General features: G+C 51.9%; 1 protein-coding gene across 3 annotated transcripts in view; it reads left to right on the plus strand.

The window, feature by feature from the left end:
* DPP3 (dipeptidyl peptidase 3) overlaps window positions 1-13,671 on the plus strand; it is a 29,224-nt gene that overhangs the window by 11,866 nt on the left and 3,687 nt on the right. For all 3 annotated transcript variants that reach the window (NM_130443.4, NM_005700.5, NM_001256670.2), the window contains 8 exons: window positions 417-611; window positions 768-880; window positions 1,242-1,334; window positions 2,907-2,969; window positions 3,066-3,190; window positions 3,331-3,451; window positions 4,999-5,178; window positions 12,313-12,475. In NM_130443.4, coding sequence (NP_569710.2) covers window positions 417-611; window positions 768-880; window positions 1,242-1,334; window positions 2,907-2,969; window positions 3,066-3,190; window positions 3,331-3,451; window positions 4,999-5,178; window positions 12,313-12,475 — 1,053 coding nt within the window. The remainder of the gene's footprint in view (window positions 1-416; window positions 612-767; window positions 881-1,241; window positions 1,335-2,906; window positions 2,970-3,065; window positions 3,191-3,330; window positions 3,452-4,998; window positions 5,179-12,312; window positions 12,476-13,671) is intronic.

Here is a 13,671-nt window from a genome sequence, read left to right on the forward strand (position 1 = left end):
AGGGGACCCACCTGTGCAAGGCAGGGCATCCAGCCTGAGGATTCAGCCACTTCTCTGACTGCCCTAATCCTCCCCAGCCCCTGGATTTAGAAGAGTCTGAGCATCTGCCTGCTAAAGCTGGAGAGATTAGCCTGGGAGGAGAGCACACACCTGTTGGGGCTCAGGGATGACCCAGGCCCAGGGAGAAGGGGCAGGCGGCCCAGGGGCCTGAGGGAGAGACGGGTTTGTGCAGCTGCATCTTTCCTGTCCAGGTCCTGACCCAGTAGGGCCCAGGCCTGGGTCACTGCTATCCCCATCTTCCAGCCCAGGGTGACTGCATACAGTAGGCATTCAGTACATGCGTGATGGCTGGAGTAGGGTGAAGTGGGAGCCCTCCTGGAACCCTGCCAAGCCACAACCCCCTCCCTCCTCTGCAGGTTTCGTAGCTGTGGTGAACAAGGCCATGAGTGCCAAGTTTGAGCGGCTGGTGGCGAGCGCAGAGCAGCTGCTGAAGGAGCTGCCCTGGCCCCCAACCTTTGAGAAGGACAAGTTCCTCACCCCTGACTTCACCTCCCTGGATGTTCTCACCTTCGCTGGCTCCGGCATCCCTGCCGGCATCAACATCCCCAACTGTGAGTGTCTCAGGCCCAGCCCCCGAGCCCCAGAAACCTTCCTTTAGAGTCGCCCCTCCCTGTCCACACACACACCCTCCACAAACTGCTCTGTGCCTCTTGTCTGTTACCTTTGACCCTCACCTCTTCTTTCTGGTCCTTCTCCACCTTCTCCAGACGATGATCTGAGGCAGACGGAAGGCTTTAAGAACGTGTCGCTGGGGAATGTGCTGGCTGTGGCCTACGCCACGCAGCGGGAGAAGCTTACCTTTCTGGAGGAGGATGACAAGGTGGGCGCCAGCAGTCGGAGGGTCGGGGCTGGGCCTCACCTTCCTCAGCAGACTCAGGAAGAGAGACAGCCCAGAGCAGTAGAGAGGAAAGCACATAGCTTCAGTCCTGGCTCTGCCACTTCCCAACCATGTGACCGTGTGGACTTTGGAGCCTCAGTTTCCTCTTGGGTCACACTAGGGAGGCATCCCTCCCTTCCTCCTGGGTTGTTGCAAGGATGAAATGGGCTGTGGGGTGGAGCACAGTTGGCCTTTACCAAGCACATGCACTGAGATGGGTCCATGGCCCAGGGGAGGGGAGGCCGACAGGCTGTATAGCCAGGGCTGGCCAGTGGACAGCGCGGGTCTCTGCTTGTCTTGGCAGGACCTGTACATCCTCTGGAAGGGGCCCTCCTTCGATGTGCAGGTGGGCCTGCACGAGCTGCTGGGCCATGGCAGTGGCAAGCTCTTCGTACAGGTGAGAAGGCAGTGGCCAGCCCTGGCACCCCAGCCTACAGCTCCACTCCCCACAACCTGCCCTACCCAGCGGTGAAGCTGCTCCAGCCTCTGCCCTCAGGAGCTATGGGTTGAGTGGGGAAAATGGCCCCTTAGGCAGAGAAGACCCTGTCTTGCCCTCCCTCAAGATGTCCCAGGAGCTCAGATGCCTGGATGTAGAGCCTGGGTGTACATCTGGGGCTCAGGGATGAGCCTGGTGTAGAGCCTGGATGTAGAGCCTGGATGTAGAGGGCCCTTCGGGACAGTTCAGCTGCTGTTCCCCGCACCAGGAGGAATTGTTTGGCTCAGGCTAAGGAAGCACACCCTAAGGGCGTGCTTAGGGCGTGGCTCCAGCAGCCCCAGGACAGACACTTGGGGCAGGGGGCATCTCTGGGTGCTCCCATCTGAGGCAGCAGTGCTGTCTTTGTTTGCGCTGCTGTTCCGTGGAACCTGGGCTTTTCCGGGTATCGTAGGGAGCCACTTCTCCCCAGAGCAGACCCTTCTTGCCAGCCGGCCAGAGTGGCTGGAGCCCCCTCCATACCTACCCAGGGAATATGGAAACACAGACAGTCATTTATGGGGGGCTGAAAAGCTGATGTGGACCCCCAGCATGAAGATGACCAGAAATGGGGTGAGGTGTGGCCCCTCCCCTCCGAGGGCGGGGTTCTGGGTGGGTCCTGCTTCTCGGGGTGTGGGGCTGCTTCCCTGGATCAGGAAGGGCTGGAACTGGGCCCTGGGGTCAGGAGGATGCGCAGAACAGCTGCTGGGTCAGCAGTCTGGCGAAACGCCTTGTCCAGACTTTATCAAGGCTGTGTGTGGCCTTGGATAATTCAGCACCTTCACCGAGCCTCAGTTGGCCCATCTGTAAAATGAGATTCCTGACCCCTGCTGTGTGGGCTGTTGTGAGGAGTAAAGGTGAAGACAGTAAGCCCTAACACACAGTAAGCCCTGACAGCAAACAGGTGTTAGTGTTGAGAGACAGCGTCCACGGAGGTTGTGTGCTCTGACTCCAGTGTGGGGCTCTTAGGCTCTGAGCCTCAGTTTCCTCATCTGTGAAGTGGGGTGATAGTGGCACTGTCCTCGGAAGATGGTTGTGAGGATTCAAAGGATGCTGCATGAAAGACGCATGGCATGCAGTGGGAGGGTGAGAATGACACCGTGGCCTCCTCTGGCAGTGCCAGGAGCCCGTGGTGGGCACAGCTGGGCTGTCTGGCCTACCCATTGGGGCATCTCCCACTGGGGTCTGGAGACACCAGATCTGGGTCCTCACAGGACTTGGGGCAAGTCCCTCGGCTGTCTGGTCCTCAGTTTTCCTCTCTGTGTGGTGGGGTAGGCAGCTCAGGTTCTCAGGCTCCCAATGGCTCTGAGGAGGCAGCCAGCGTCACAGGGCTCAGGGCTGTGCAGGCGTCAGTGTGTGGACAGACCTGCTGCTCCCGCCGCCCGCTCCTGCGCTCCCGCTTGCCTTCCTGAGCCACTTTCCGGCCTGTGGATTCTGGGGCTGGAGGCCTGGATCCAGTTGGGGGCGCCTTTCCCTCACCCACCGTGTGTTCTGCAGGACGAAAAAGGAGCATTCAACTTTGACCAGGAAACAGTGATCAACCCAGAGACGGGCGAGCAGGTGAGGGAGGCCTCAGCAGAGCCCCAGGGTACTGGGAGGGTGGGCACAGGTGGGGCAGTGGCCACCTTAAGCCCGACAGTGGAGCTCCTTTTCCAGATTCAGAGCTGGTATCGGAGCGGGGAGACCTGGGATAGCAAGTTCAGCACCATCGCCTCCAGCTACGAAGAGTGCCGGGCTGAGAGCGTGGGTCTCTACCTCTGTCTCCACCCGCAAGTGCTGGAGTAAGAGCAGCAGGGCCGAGGGGCGGGCTGTCCCGCTGCAGTGGCCAGCCCTGGGGGCGTGGAGGGTGGGTGGTAGTGGCCAGTGGGATGGGGACAGGGCAGCCTCTGACCATCCTGCCACCTGCCTGCCCCTCTCACAGGATCTTTGGCTTTGAGGGGGCTGATGCGGAGGACGTGATCTACGTGAACTGGCTCAACATGGTTCGGGCCGGGCTGCTCGCTCTGGAGTTCTACACACCTGAGGCCTTCAACTGGCGACAGGTAGGGCCTAGGTGGAGCCCCCTGGAGGCGGAAGGGAGCCTGCAGTGGGTGCCAAGATCAGGGTGCAAGGATGGGACCACTGTACCTTTAAGGCAGATGAACTGGGTTTAATGCTAGACTCCACTGTTTGGGAGGCAAGTCACATCACTCTTGTGAGCCCCAGAGTTCCTCTCTGTGAAATGGGAGTAGGACTCTCCCCGGCCACCATTTCACGGTGAATCAGATGAGGTGACTTTATTAGGACTCCTCGCAGTTGACGCACTCTCTGCCACACACAATTCTAAACGCCCTCCATGAATTAACTACCCCAGGAGGTAGGTGCTATTGTTACCCTCATTTTAGAGATGAGGAAGTCGAGGCACAAGGAGATGAAGCAACTTGCCACTAAGTGGCAGAGCCAGGATTCGCATCCATACAGTGCCTACAGGGCCATTCAGTGCCACGGCTCAGTTATGTGTCCTTTGGATATGGGGTAAGCAATAGAAACTTTTTTGTTTGTTCGTTTTTGTTTTTTTGAGACAAAGTCTCGCTCTGTCACCAGGCTGGAGTGCAGTGGCCGGATCTCGGCTCACTGCAACCTCCGCCTCCCGGGTTCAAGCAATTCTGCCTCAGCCTCCCGAGTAGCTGGGACTATAGGCGCACCACCACACCCGGCTAATTTTTTGTATTTTTTTTTTCTTTTGAGACAGAGTCTCACTCTGTCACCCAGGCTGGAGTGCAGTGGCACCATCTTGGCTCACTGCAAACTCCATCTCCTGGGTTCACGCCATTCTCTCGCCTCAGCCTCCCGAGTGGCTAGGATTACAGGCATGCACCACCACGCCCAGCTAATTTTTTGTATTTTTAGTAGAGATGGGGTTTCACCGTGTTAGCCAGGATGGTCTCGATCTCCTGACCTTGTGATCCGCCCGCCTCGGCCTCCCAAAGTGCTGGGATTACAGGTGTGAGCCACCGCATCCCACCAGCAATAGAAACTTTTTGACAAAATCAAATAGGTGTGGTTTGAGGAGGCGATGTGACGTCATTCAGGGTCCAGAAATGTGGGTCTGAGTCCTGGCTCTTCCGTTATTAGCTGTGTGCCCCTAAGGAAGTCCCTTTACCTCTCTGGGCCTCTGTTTTATCATCTGTAAACTGGGGATAATGATGCCTACTTGGTTCCCCTTTTGAGCACAAACAAGGTTGTGGAGGAGAAAGTGTTTGGGGACCCTGGAGGGGGTAGCTGCTGTCCTCAGCAGGGGATCTGGAGCAGCAGGGATCACAGTGGGTGACATGGGGAGCATGGGCACCAGGTCCCGCCTGGAAATGGCCTCCCTGTCTCCTAGGGCAGCCTGCCCTCTCTGTGAGAAGAGGAAGGAGGAAGCATTTGAGGGGAGGAGAATAAGCAGAAAAGGACCCGCAGGGTTGGGGAGAATGACAATAACAGTTGCCAGTTAATGGGCAACTGGGACCAAGGACCAAGCCTGGGACCAAGGACCAAGCCAAGGACCAAGCCTAGGACCAAGCACTTGATACGGGCTACAAATGCTGTCTTTCCCCTGCTCCGGCAGGCCCATATGCAGGCCCGGTTTGTGATCCTGAGAGTCTTGCTGGAGGCTGGCGAGGGACTCGTTACCATCACTCCCACCACAGGCTCCGATGGGCGCCCAGATGCCCGGGTCCGCCTCGACCGCAGCAAGATCCGGTCTGTGGGCAAGCCTGCTCTAGAGCGCTTCCTGCGGAGACTTCAGGTAAGCAAAGGCCTCTCGTCTGGATGGGTCCCCACCAACCTCTCCAGGGGCACTGAGTGTTACCAGGCACGGAGAATAAGCTGTGAGCAGTTTCTTATGCTGCAGTGAGGAAAGGTAGCCAGTAAACATGTAAGCGCACCGGGTGCCTCACGCCTGTGATCCCAGCACTGTGGGAGGCCAAGGAGGGCAGATCACTTGAGCTCAGGAGTTCGAGACTAGCCTGGGCAACATGGCAAAACCTCGTCTCTACAAAAAATACAAAAATTAGCCAGGTATGGTAGTGCGCACCTGTAGTTCCAGCTACTCTGGAGGCGGAAGTGGGAGGATCACTTGAGCCTGAGGGGTCGAGGCTGCAGTAAGCCATGATTGCACCACTACACTCCAGCCTGGGTGACAGAGTGAGACCCTATCTCTAAAAAAAAAAAAAAGAATAAGGACATCTTTTATTTATTTATTTGTTTGTTTATTTATTTATTAGACAGAGTTTTGCTCTTGTTGCCCAGGCTGGAGTGCAATGGCGTGATCTCGGCTCACTGTAACCTTCTCCTGGGTTCAAGCAATTCTCCTGCCTCAACCTCCCGAGTAGCTGGGATTACAGGCTTTCACCACCACGCCCGGCTAATTTTTTTTTTTTGAGACAGGGTCTCGCTCTGTCGCCCAGGCTGGAGTGCAGTGGCGTGATCTGTGCTCACTGCAAACTCCGCCTCCTGGGTTCACACCATTCTCCTGCCTCTGCCTCCCGAGTAGCAGGGACTACAGGTGCCCGCCACCATGCCCGGCTAATTTTTTGTATTTTTAGTGGAGACAGGGTTTCACCGTGTTAGCCAGGATGGTCTCGATCTCCTGACCTCGTGATCTGCCTGCCTCGGCCTCCCAAAGTGCTGGGATTACAGGCGTGAGCCACCGGGCCTGGCCTAATTTTTGTATTTTTAGTAGAGACAGGGTTTCACCATGTTGGCCAGGCTTGTCTCGAACTCCTGACCTCAGGTGATCCACCCGCCTTGACCTCCCAAAGTGCTGGGATTACAGGTGTGAGGCACTGTGCCCAGCCAGGACATCTTTTAAGAACGAAGGACATTTTTGGACAAACAAAAACAGTTTACCGTTAATAAACCCTCAGTAACAACACTTCTACAGGATATAATTTAGGAAAAAGAAACAGCCCCAGAGAGAAGGTTTGATAAGCCATAAGATATATGGCTGAGTGATGCTGAGAGTAAATATACAATATGAACTTTGTACACCAATAAAACTGCTCAGTTTCCCTGGCGTGATGGCTCATGCCTGTAATCCCAGAACTTTGGGAGGCTAGATTCCTTGAGTCTAGGAGTTCAAGACCAGCCTGGGCAACATAGTGAGACCTCATCTCTACAAAAAATTTTAAAAATAGCCAAGTGTGGTGATGCACGCCTGTGGTCGCAGCCACACAGGAGGCTGAGATGGGAGGATCACTTGAGCATGGGAGGTAGAGGCTGCAGTGAGCCCTGATCACCACTGCACTCTAGCCTGGGTGACAGAACTAGATTCTGTCTCTAAAAGAAAAAGAAAAGATAACATATTAATCAAAAGTTACCATAAAGAAGGTGTCAAGTCTTACACTAGGTGCTGGGCGCGGTGGCTCACGCCTGTAATCCCGGCACTCTGGGAGGCCGAGGCGGGTGGATCACGAGGTCAGCAGTTCGAGACCAGCCTGACCAACATGGTGAAACCCCATCTCTACTAAAAATACAAAAAAATTAGCTGGGCATGGTGGCTGGTGCCTGTAATCCCAGCTACTTGGGAGGCTGAAGCAGGAGAATCTCTTTAAACCTGAAGGCGGAGGTTGCAGTGAGCCGAGATTGCGCCACTGCACTCTAGCCTCTGCAATGAGAGCAAAACTCCGCCTCAAAAAAAAAAAGGTCTTACACTAGGATAGGATATTTATAACACATATGGTTAGGCCCCGCTTATCCACAGTTTTGCTTTATGCGGCTGCAGTTAGCCACAGTAAAATACAACAAGATATTTTTAGGTTGGGTGTGGTGGTTCACGCCTGTAATCCCAGCACTTTGGGAGGCCCAGACGGGCTGATCACCTGAGGTCACGAGTTCAAGACCAGCCTGGCCAACATGGTGAAGCCCTATCTCTACTAAAAATACAAAAATTAGCTGGGCATGGTGGCAGGCGCCTGTAATCCCAGCCACTCAGGAGGCTGAGGCATGAGAATCGCTTGAATCTGGGAGTTGGAGGTTGCAGTGAGCCAAGATTGTGCCACTGCCCTCCTGCTTGGGTGACACAGCGAAACACTGCCTCAAAAAGAAAAAAAAAAACATATTTTGAGAGAGAGGCTATATTCACCTTTTATCGCGTTATTTTGTTACAGGTGTTCTATTTTATTAGTAGTTATTGTTAATCTCTTCCTGTGCCTAATTTATAAATTAAACTTTCTCATAGGTGTGTATGTATGGTGAAAAAAAAACAGTGTATATATAGTGCCCTGTACTGTCCATGGCTTCAGGCATCCACTACATGGTCTTGGAACATATACGCCATGGATATATGGGGACTACTGTACTGACAAAGGGTTCATATTTAAAATAAATAAAGAACTTTTCAGCCGAGCACAGTCGCTCACACCTGTAATCCCAGCACTTTGGGAGGCCAAGGCAGACAGATCACTTGAGGTAAGGAGTTCGAGACCAGCCTGGCCAACATGGTGAAACCTGTCTCTACCAAAAACATAAAAAATTAGCCAGGCGTATTGGCAGGTGCCTGTAATCCCAGCTACTCAGGAGGCTAAGGCAGGAGAATTGCTCAAACCTGGAAGGTGGAGGTTGCAGTGAGCCAAGATCATGCCACTGCACTCCATCGCGGGCAATACAGCAAGACTCCATTTCAAAAAATAAAGAAAGAAGAAACTTTTTTTAAAAAAGTGAAGGAGAAAAGATAACCCAACATAAAATAAGCAAAAATGAACAGAAGAGGAAAATGAATAGCCCTTGATCAACTAAGGGAAGATGCTCAACCTTGTTAGTAATTAGGCAACCTCAACCTAAACTGCATAAGTTACAATTGATACCCACCAGCATGGCAGGAATTAACAACTGCCAGCATCCACTTAGTAGACTGAGCAATGAGGACTGCCATCCACTGCTTTTGGAAGGCTGAATTACATACGAATTTTAAGAAACAGCAGCGTCATCTCTTAAAGTTGAGCACTCCTGTCACCGACACAGAATCAGTTCTGGAAAAACTTGCATCTGTTCATCAGGAGACATACAGGGATGTTCACAGCAGCATTATTAGCAAAAAGCACCGGCCGGGCGCACTGGCTCACGCCTGTAATCCCAGCACTATGGGAGGCCATGGCGGGCAGGTCACCTGAGGTCAGGAGTTTCAGACCAGCCTAGTTAACATGGTGAAACCCCATCTCTACTAAAAGTACAAAAAGGCTGGGCATGGTGGCTCACACCTGTAATCCCAGCACTTTGGGAGGCCGAGGCAGGCAGATCACCTGAGGTTAGGAGTTCAAGACCAGCCTGGCCAACATGGTGAAACCCCTTTTCTACTAAAAATAAAAAATTAGCCGGGTATGGTGGCATTTGCCTGTAGTCCCAGCTACTCAGGAGGCTGAGGCAGGAGAATCGCTTGAACCAGGAGGTGGAGGTTGCAGTGAGCCAAGATCGTGCCACTGAACTCCGGCCCAAGCGACAGAGTGAGACTCTGTCTCAAAAAAAAAAAAAAGTGCAAAAAAGTTAGCCAGGCATGGTGGCGCATCCTGTACTCCAAGCTACTCGGGAAGCTGAGACAAGAGAATCACTTGAACCCGGGAGGTGGGGATTGCAGTGAGCCATGATCGTGCTGCTGCACTCCAGCCTGGGCAACAAGAGTGAAAATTACGTCTCAAAAAAAAAAAGCACCAAATTACACATGAACAGTAGAGGAGATGAAGTTGTGTGTTTATAAGTAAAAGACTACATACACAGCAGTGAGAAGGGGAACTATAGCTGAATGTTTTGGCACAAATGAATCTCAAACATAATCCAAGCAGAAAAAGAAAATCACAATATATACAGTTCAAAAACCGGCCGGGCACAGTGGCTCACCACTGTAATCCCAGCACTTTGGGAGGCTGAGGCGGGAGGATCACCTGAGGTCAGGAGTTCGAGACCAGCCTGTCCAACATGGTGAAACCCCACATCTACTAAAAATACAAAAATTAGGTGGGCATGGTGGCAGGTGCCTGTAGTCCCAGCTACAGAGGAGGCTGAGGCAGGAGGATCACTTGAACCTGGGAGGTGGAGGTTTCAGTGAGCTGATAATCTGCCACTGCACACCAGCCTGGGTAATAGACTGAGACTTTGTCTCCAAAAAAAAAAAAAAAGCAGGCAAGAACTTAATATATGATTGAGAGTAAAACTCAGGGAAAGCAAGAGAGTTTTTTAAAAACTACAATATCGGCTGGGCACGGTGGCTCACGCCTGTAATCCCAGCACTTTGGGAGGCCAAGATGGGCAGATCATGAGGTCAAACGATTGAGACCATCCTGGCCAACATGGCGGCCCGTCTCTACTAAAAATACAAAAATTAGCTGGGCGTGGTGGTGCACACCTGTAGTCCCAGCTACTCAGGAGGCTGAGGCAGAAGAATTGCTTGAACCTGGGAGGTGGAGGTTGCGTGAGCCAAGATCACGCCACTGCGCTCCAGCCTGGCAACAGCGAGACTCCATCTCAAAAAAAAGAAAGTACAATATCAAGGATAGTGGTTTCCTTAGATGGGGACAGCCACAGAGTGCAGTCAAGCAGAAGCAGCTGAACTAACTCTGAGGTGAGGTGGGGGTTGTATGAGTGTCCGTCTTTTTTTTTTTTTTGATGGGAGTCTCGCTCTGTCCCCCAGGCTGGAATGCAGTGGCAAGTTCTTGGCTTATTGCAGCCTCTGCCTCCCGAGTTCAAGAGATTCTCCTGCCTCAGCCTCCCGAGTAGCTGGGATTATAGGCGTGTGCCACCATGCCCAGCTAATTTTTTTTTTTTCGAAACCAAGTCTCACTCTGTCGCCCAGGCTGGAGTGCAGTGGCGTGATCTCAGCTCACTGCAAGCTCCGCCTCCCAGGTTCATGCCATTCTCGTGCCTCAGCCTCCCGAGTAGCTGGGACTACAGGCACCCGCCTGGCTAATTTTTTGTATTTTTTAGTAGAGATGGGGTTTCACCCCATGTTAGCCAGGATGGTCTCGATCTCCTGACCTCGTGATCCACCCGCCTCGGCCTCCCAAAGTGCTGGGATTACAGGCGTGAGACACCACGCCCAACCAAATTTTTTGTATTTTTAGTAGAAACGGGGTTTCACAGTGCTAGCCAGGATGGTCTTGATCTACTGACCTCATGATCCGCCCACCTCGTCCTCCCAAAGTGCTGGGATTACAGGCATGAGCCACCCGCCCGGCCCGAGTGTTTGTTTTAATATTCTTTACGGTATACATACTGTATCTTGTATGTGTAAGAAATGTTTTATTTTATTTATTTATTATTTTTTTGAGATGGAGTCTCACTTTGTCACCCACGCTGGAGTGCAATGGTGCAATCTTGGCTCACTGCATCCATCACCTCCTGGGTTCAAGCGATTCTCCCACCTCAGCTTCCTGAATAGCTGGGACTACAGGCACCACCATCAAACCTGGCTAGTTTTTATATTTTTGTAGAGACAGGGTTTCACCATGTTGGCCAAGCTGGTCTTGAACTCCTGACCTCAGGTGATCCGCCTGCCTCGGCCTCCCAAAGTGCTGGGATTACAGGTATGAGCCACCGTGCCCAGCCAGAAATGTTTTATTTTATAAAGGGTAATGGTCATACCTGCCTTGTCTACATGTCAAATGAGATAATCAAACGAGAAACATTAGCTTTAATTTTGTGGGCATTTACTCTATGCTAATCACTGATCTGTGTTTCTCACTCATTCAGCACAGTAACACTATGAGAGAGTAGAACTATTCTTGTTTAGAGATAACAGGTCAGAGTGGTTTAGTAACTTGTCCAAGGTTACACTGCCTGTAAGTGACAGGGCCCAGCATTTTGCAGAGTGTCTTAGTCTGTCTTGTGCTGTTGTAACACACCAAAAATACCAGAGGCTGGGTGATTTATAAAGAACAGAAATTGGCCAGGCATGGTGGCTCACGCCTGTAATCCCAGCACTTTGGGAGGCCGGGGCGGGGCAGATCTCGAGATCAGGAGATGGAGACCATCTTGGCTAACATGGTGAAATCCCATCTCTACTAAAAATACAAAAATTTAGCCGGGCGTGGTGGCACGCACCTGTAGTCCCAGCTACTCAGGAGGCTGAGGTAGGAGAATCACTTGAACCCGGGAGGCAGAGGTTGCAGTGAGCCAAGATTGTGCCATTGCACTCCAGGCTGGGTGACAGCAAGACTCTGTCTCAAAAAAAAAAAAGATCACAAATTTATTTCTGGCAGTTCTGGAGGTGGGGGAGTCCAAGATCAAGGTACCAGCTGGTTCATTTTCTGGTGAAGGCTGCTCTTCTCTTCCATCCAAGATGATACCTTGTTGAAGATACCTTATTTGTAGGAGAGGAATGGGAGGAATGCTGTGGCCTCACATGGTGGAAAGCAAAATGGCAACAGGGCCAAACAGGCATGAAGCCTGTTTTCCTTTTTCTTTCTTTCTTTTCCTTTTTTTTAGAGACGAGACGGGGTCTCACTATGTTAACCAGGCTGGTCTCAAACTCAAGCAATCCTCTCACCTCGGACTCCCCAAGTGCCCAGGATTGCACGCATGAGCCACCATGGCTGGCCTTTTTTTTTCCATAGAGATATGGTCTTGCCATATTGTCCAGGCTGGTCTCAAACTCCTGGGCTCAAGTGATCCCCTGCCTCCTCCTCCCAAGGTACTAAGATTACAGGTGTGAGCCACCACACCCAGCCTGAAGCCTCTTTTATAAGGGCCTTAATCCCATTCAAGAGGAAGGAGCCTTAATGGTTAAGTTGAAACTTAACCATAAGTTTCAACACCAGAATTTTGGAGGGGACACATTCAAACCATAGCACAGACTGTCCAGGGCTGACCACAATCAGCTGTGGCCTATGGCAGAGCCCTGTGGACACCGGGTAACTGCCCATCCTAGACATTTACTCCATCCTTCTCACAGGTGCTGAAGTCCACAGGGGATGTGGCCGGAGGGCGGGCCCTGTACGAGGGGTATGCAACAGTCACTGATGCGCCCCCCGAGTGCTTCCTCACCCTCAGGGACACGGTGCTGCTGCGTAAGGAATCTCGGAAGCTCATTGTTCAGCCCAACACTCGCCTTGAAGGTAATGAGGTAATGAGGGAGCTCTTGAGCTCCCTTGATGAGCACCACACAGGGCCCTCTGGGAAGCAGTAAGAACCCATCCCAGGGCTCAATAAGAACCTAACCCAGCCTGGGATGGCCCTTCCCTTTCTGCCAAGGTCCTTCCCATGCCAAACCTCAGGCCCTTATCTTGGTATCTGTCACCACCCACCACCCCCCCGACACACACACAGTCATGCAAGTTGTAAGACAGTGACAGAAGATTTGAAGAAGACCACCAGAGCAGGGGATAGCAGAACATGCAGACTTAGGGGGAAGCCAGGCGTTCATACCAAAGAATTAGACCTGTTGGGTACCCAGGCTGGGGGTCAGGTGAGGAGGGAGCTGGGATCCAGCAAGCCTAGTGAAACCCAGGGGACAGTGGACTCGGTCACATCCAGGATGGTGATCAACAGCTGCATCATCCCGCTTCCTTCTCAAGCGACAATTCCAGAGCCTTGGCCACACGGTGCTTGTATCTTTCGTATTCAGACCCCCTGGGGTTCCAGCCCCTTACTGCCTTCACTTTCCTCTCACCCCTTGACTCATCTTTCCTGCTACTTGTCACTTGAGATACCTAAGATGATGTGTGTTATGGAGAGGTTAGAGCACCAGCTTCAGAACCACCCTGTGACTTTGGCCTAGTCACCTGACATTTCTAGACTTTGGTGTCTTCATTCATAAAGGCAGTGTGGACTGCTTGCTGATGTTATCGTGAACCTGAATTCCTTCTTAGAGTTTCTAAGTGCTTTCTGGGGATTAACCTTTTAAATCCTTGCAGTAGCCCAATAAGGTAGGTATTGTTGTTATCCCCATTTTACAGGTAAGGAAACTGAGGCACAGAGAGTAATTTGCACAAGGCTTATGGCTTTTTAGTGGAGGAGCCAAGAGTCAAATTAAGAGTGGTTGAGTCAGGCATGGTGGCCCCTGCCTATAGTCCCAGCTACTTGAAAGAGTGAGGTAGGAGGATTGCTTGAGCCCAGGAGTTCAATGCTACAGAGCAAGACCTCAACTCTTTAAAAAAAAAAAAAAAAAAAAAGCATTGTCCTGGGCAGTTGTGAGGGTTACATAGAATAATATTTGCAAAAAGTCACTACCTATTATTGGTGAGGAAAAAGCATTTATTTATTTGGTTTTTGGGTTGGTTTTGTTTTTGTTTTTGTTTTTGTTTTTTTTGAG

This window comes from Homo sapiens, chromosome 11, assembly GCF_000001405.40.
Source record: "Homo sapiens chromosome 11, GRCh38.p14 Primary Assembly".
Taxonomy (NCBI): domain Eukaryota; kingdom Metazoa; phylum Chordata; class Mammalia; order Primates; family Hominidae; genus Homo; species Homo sapiens.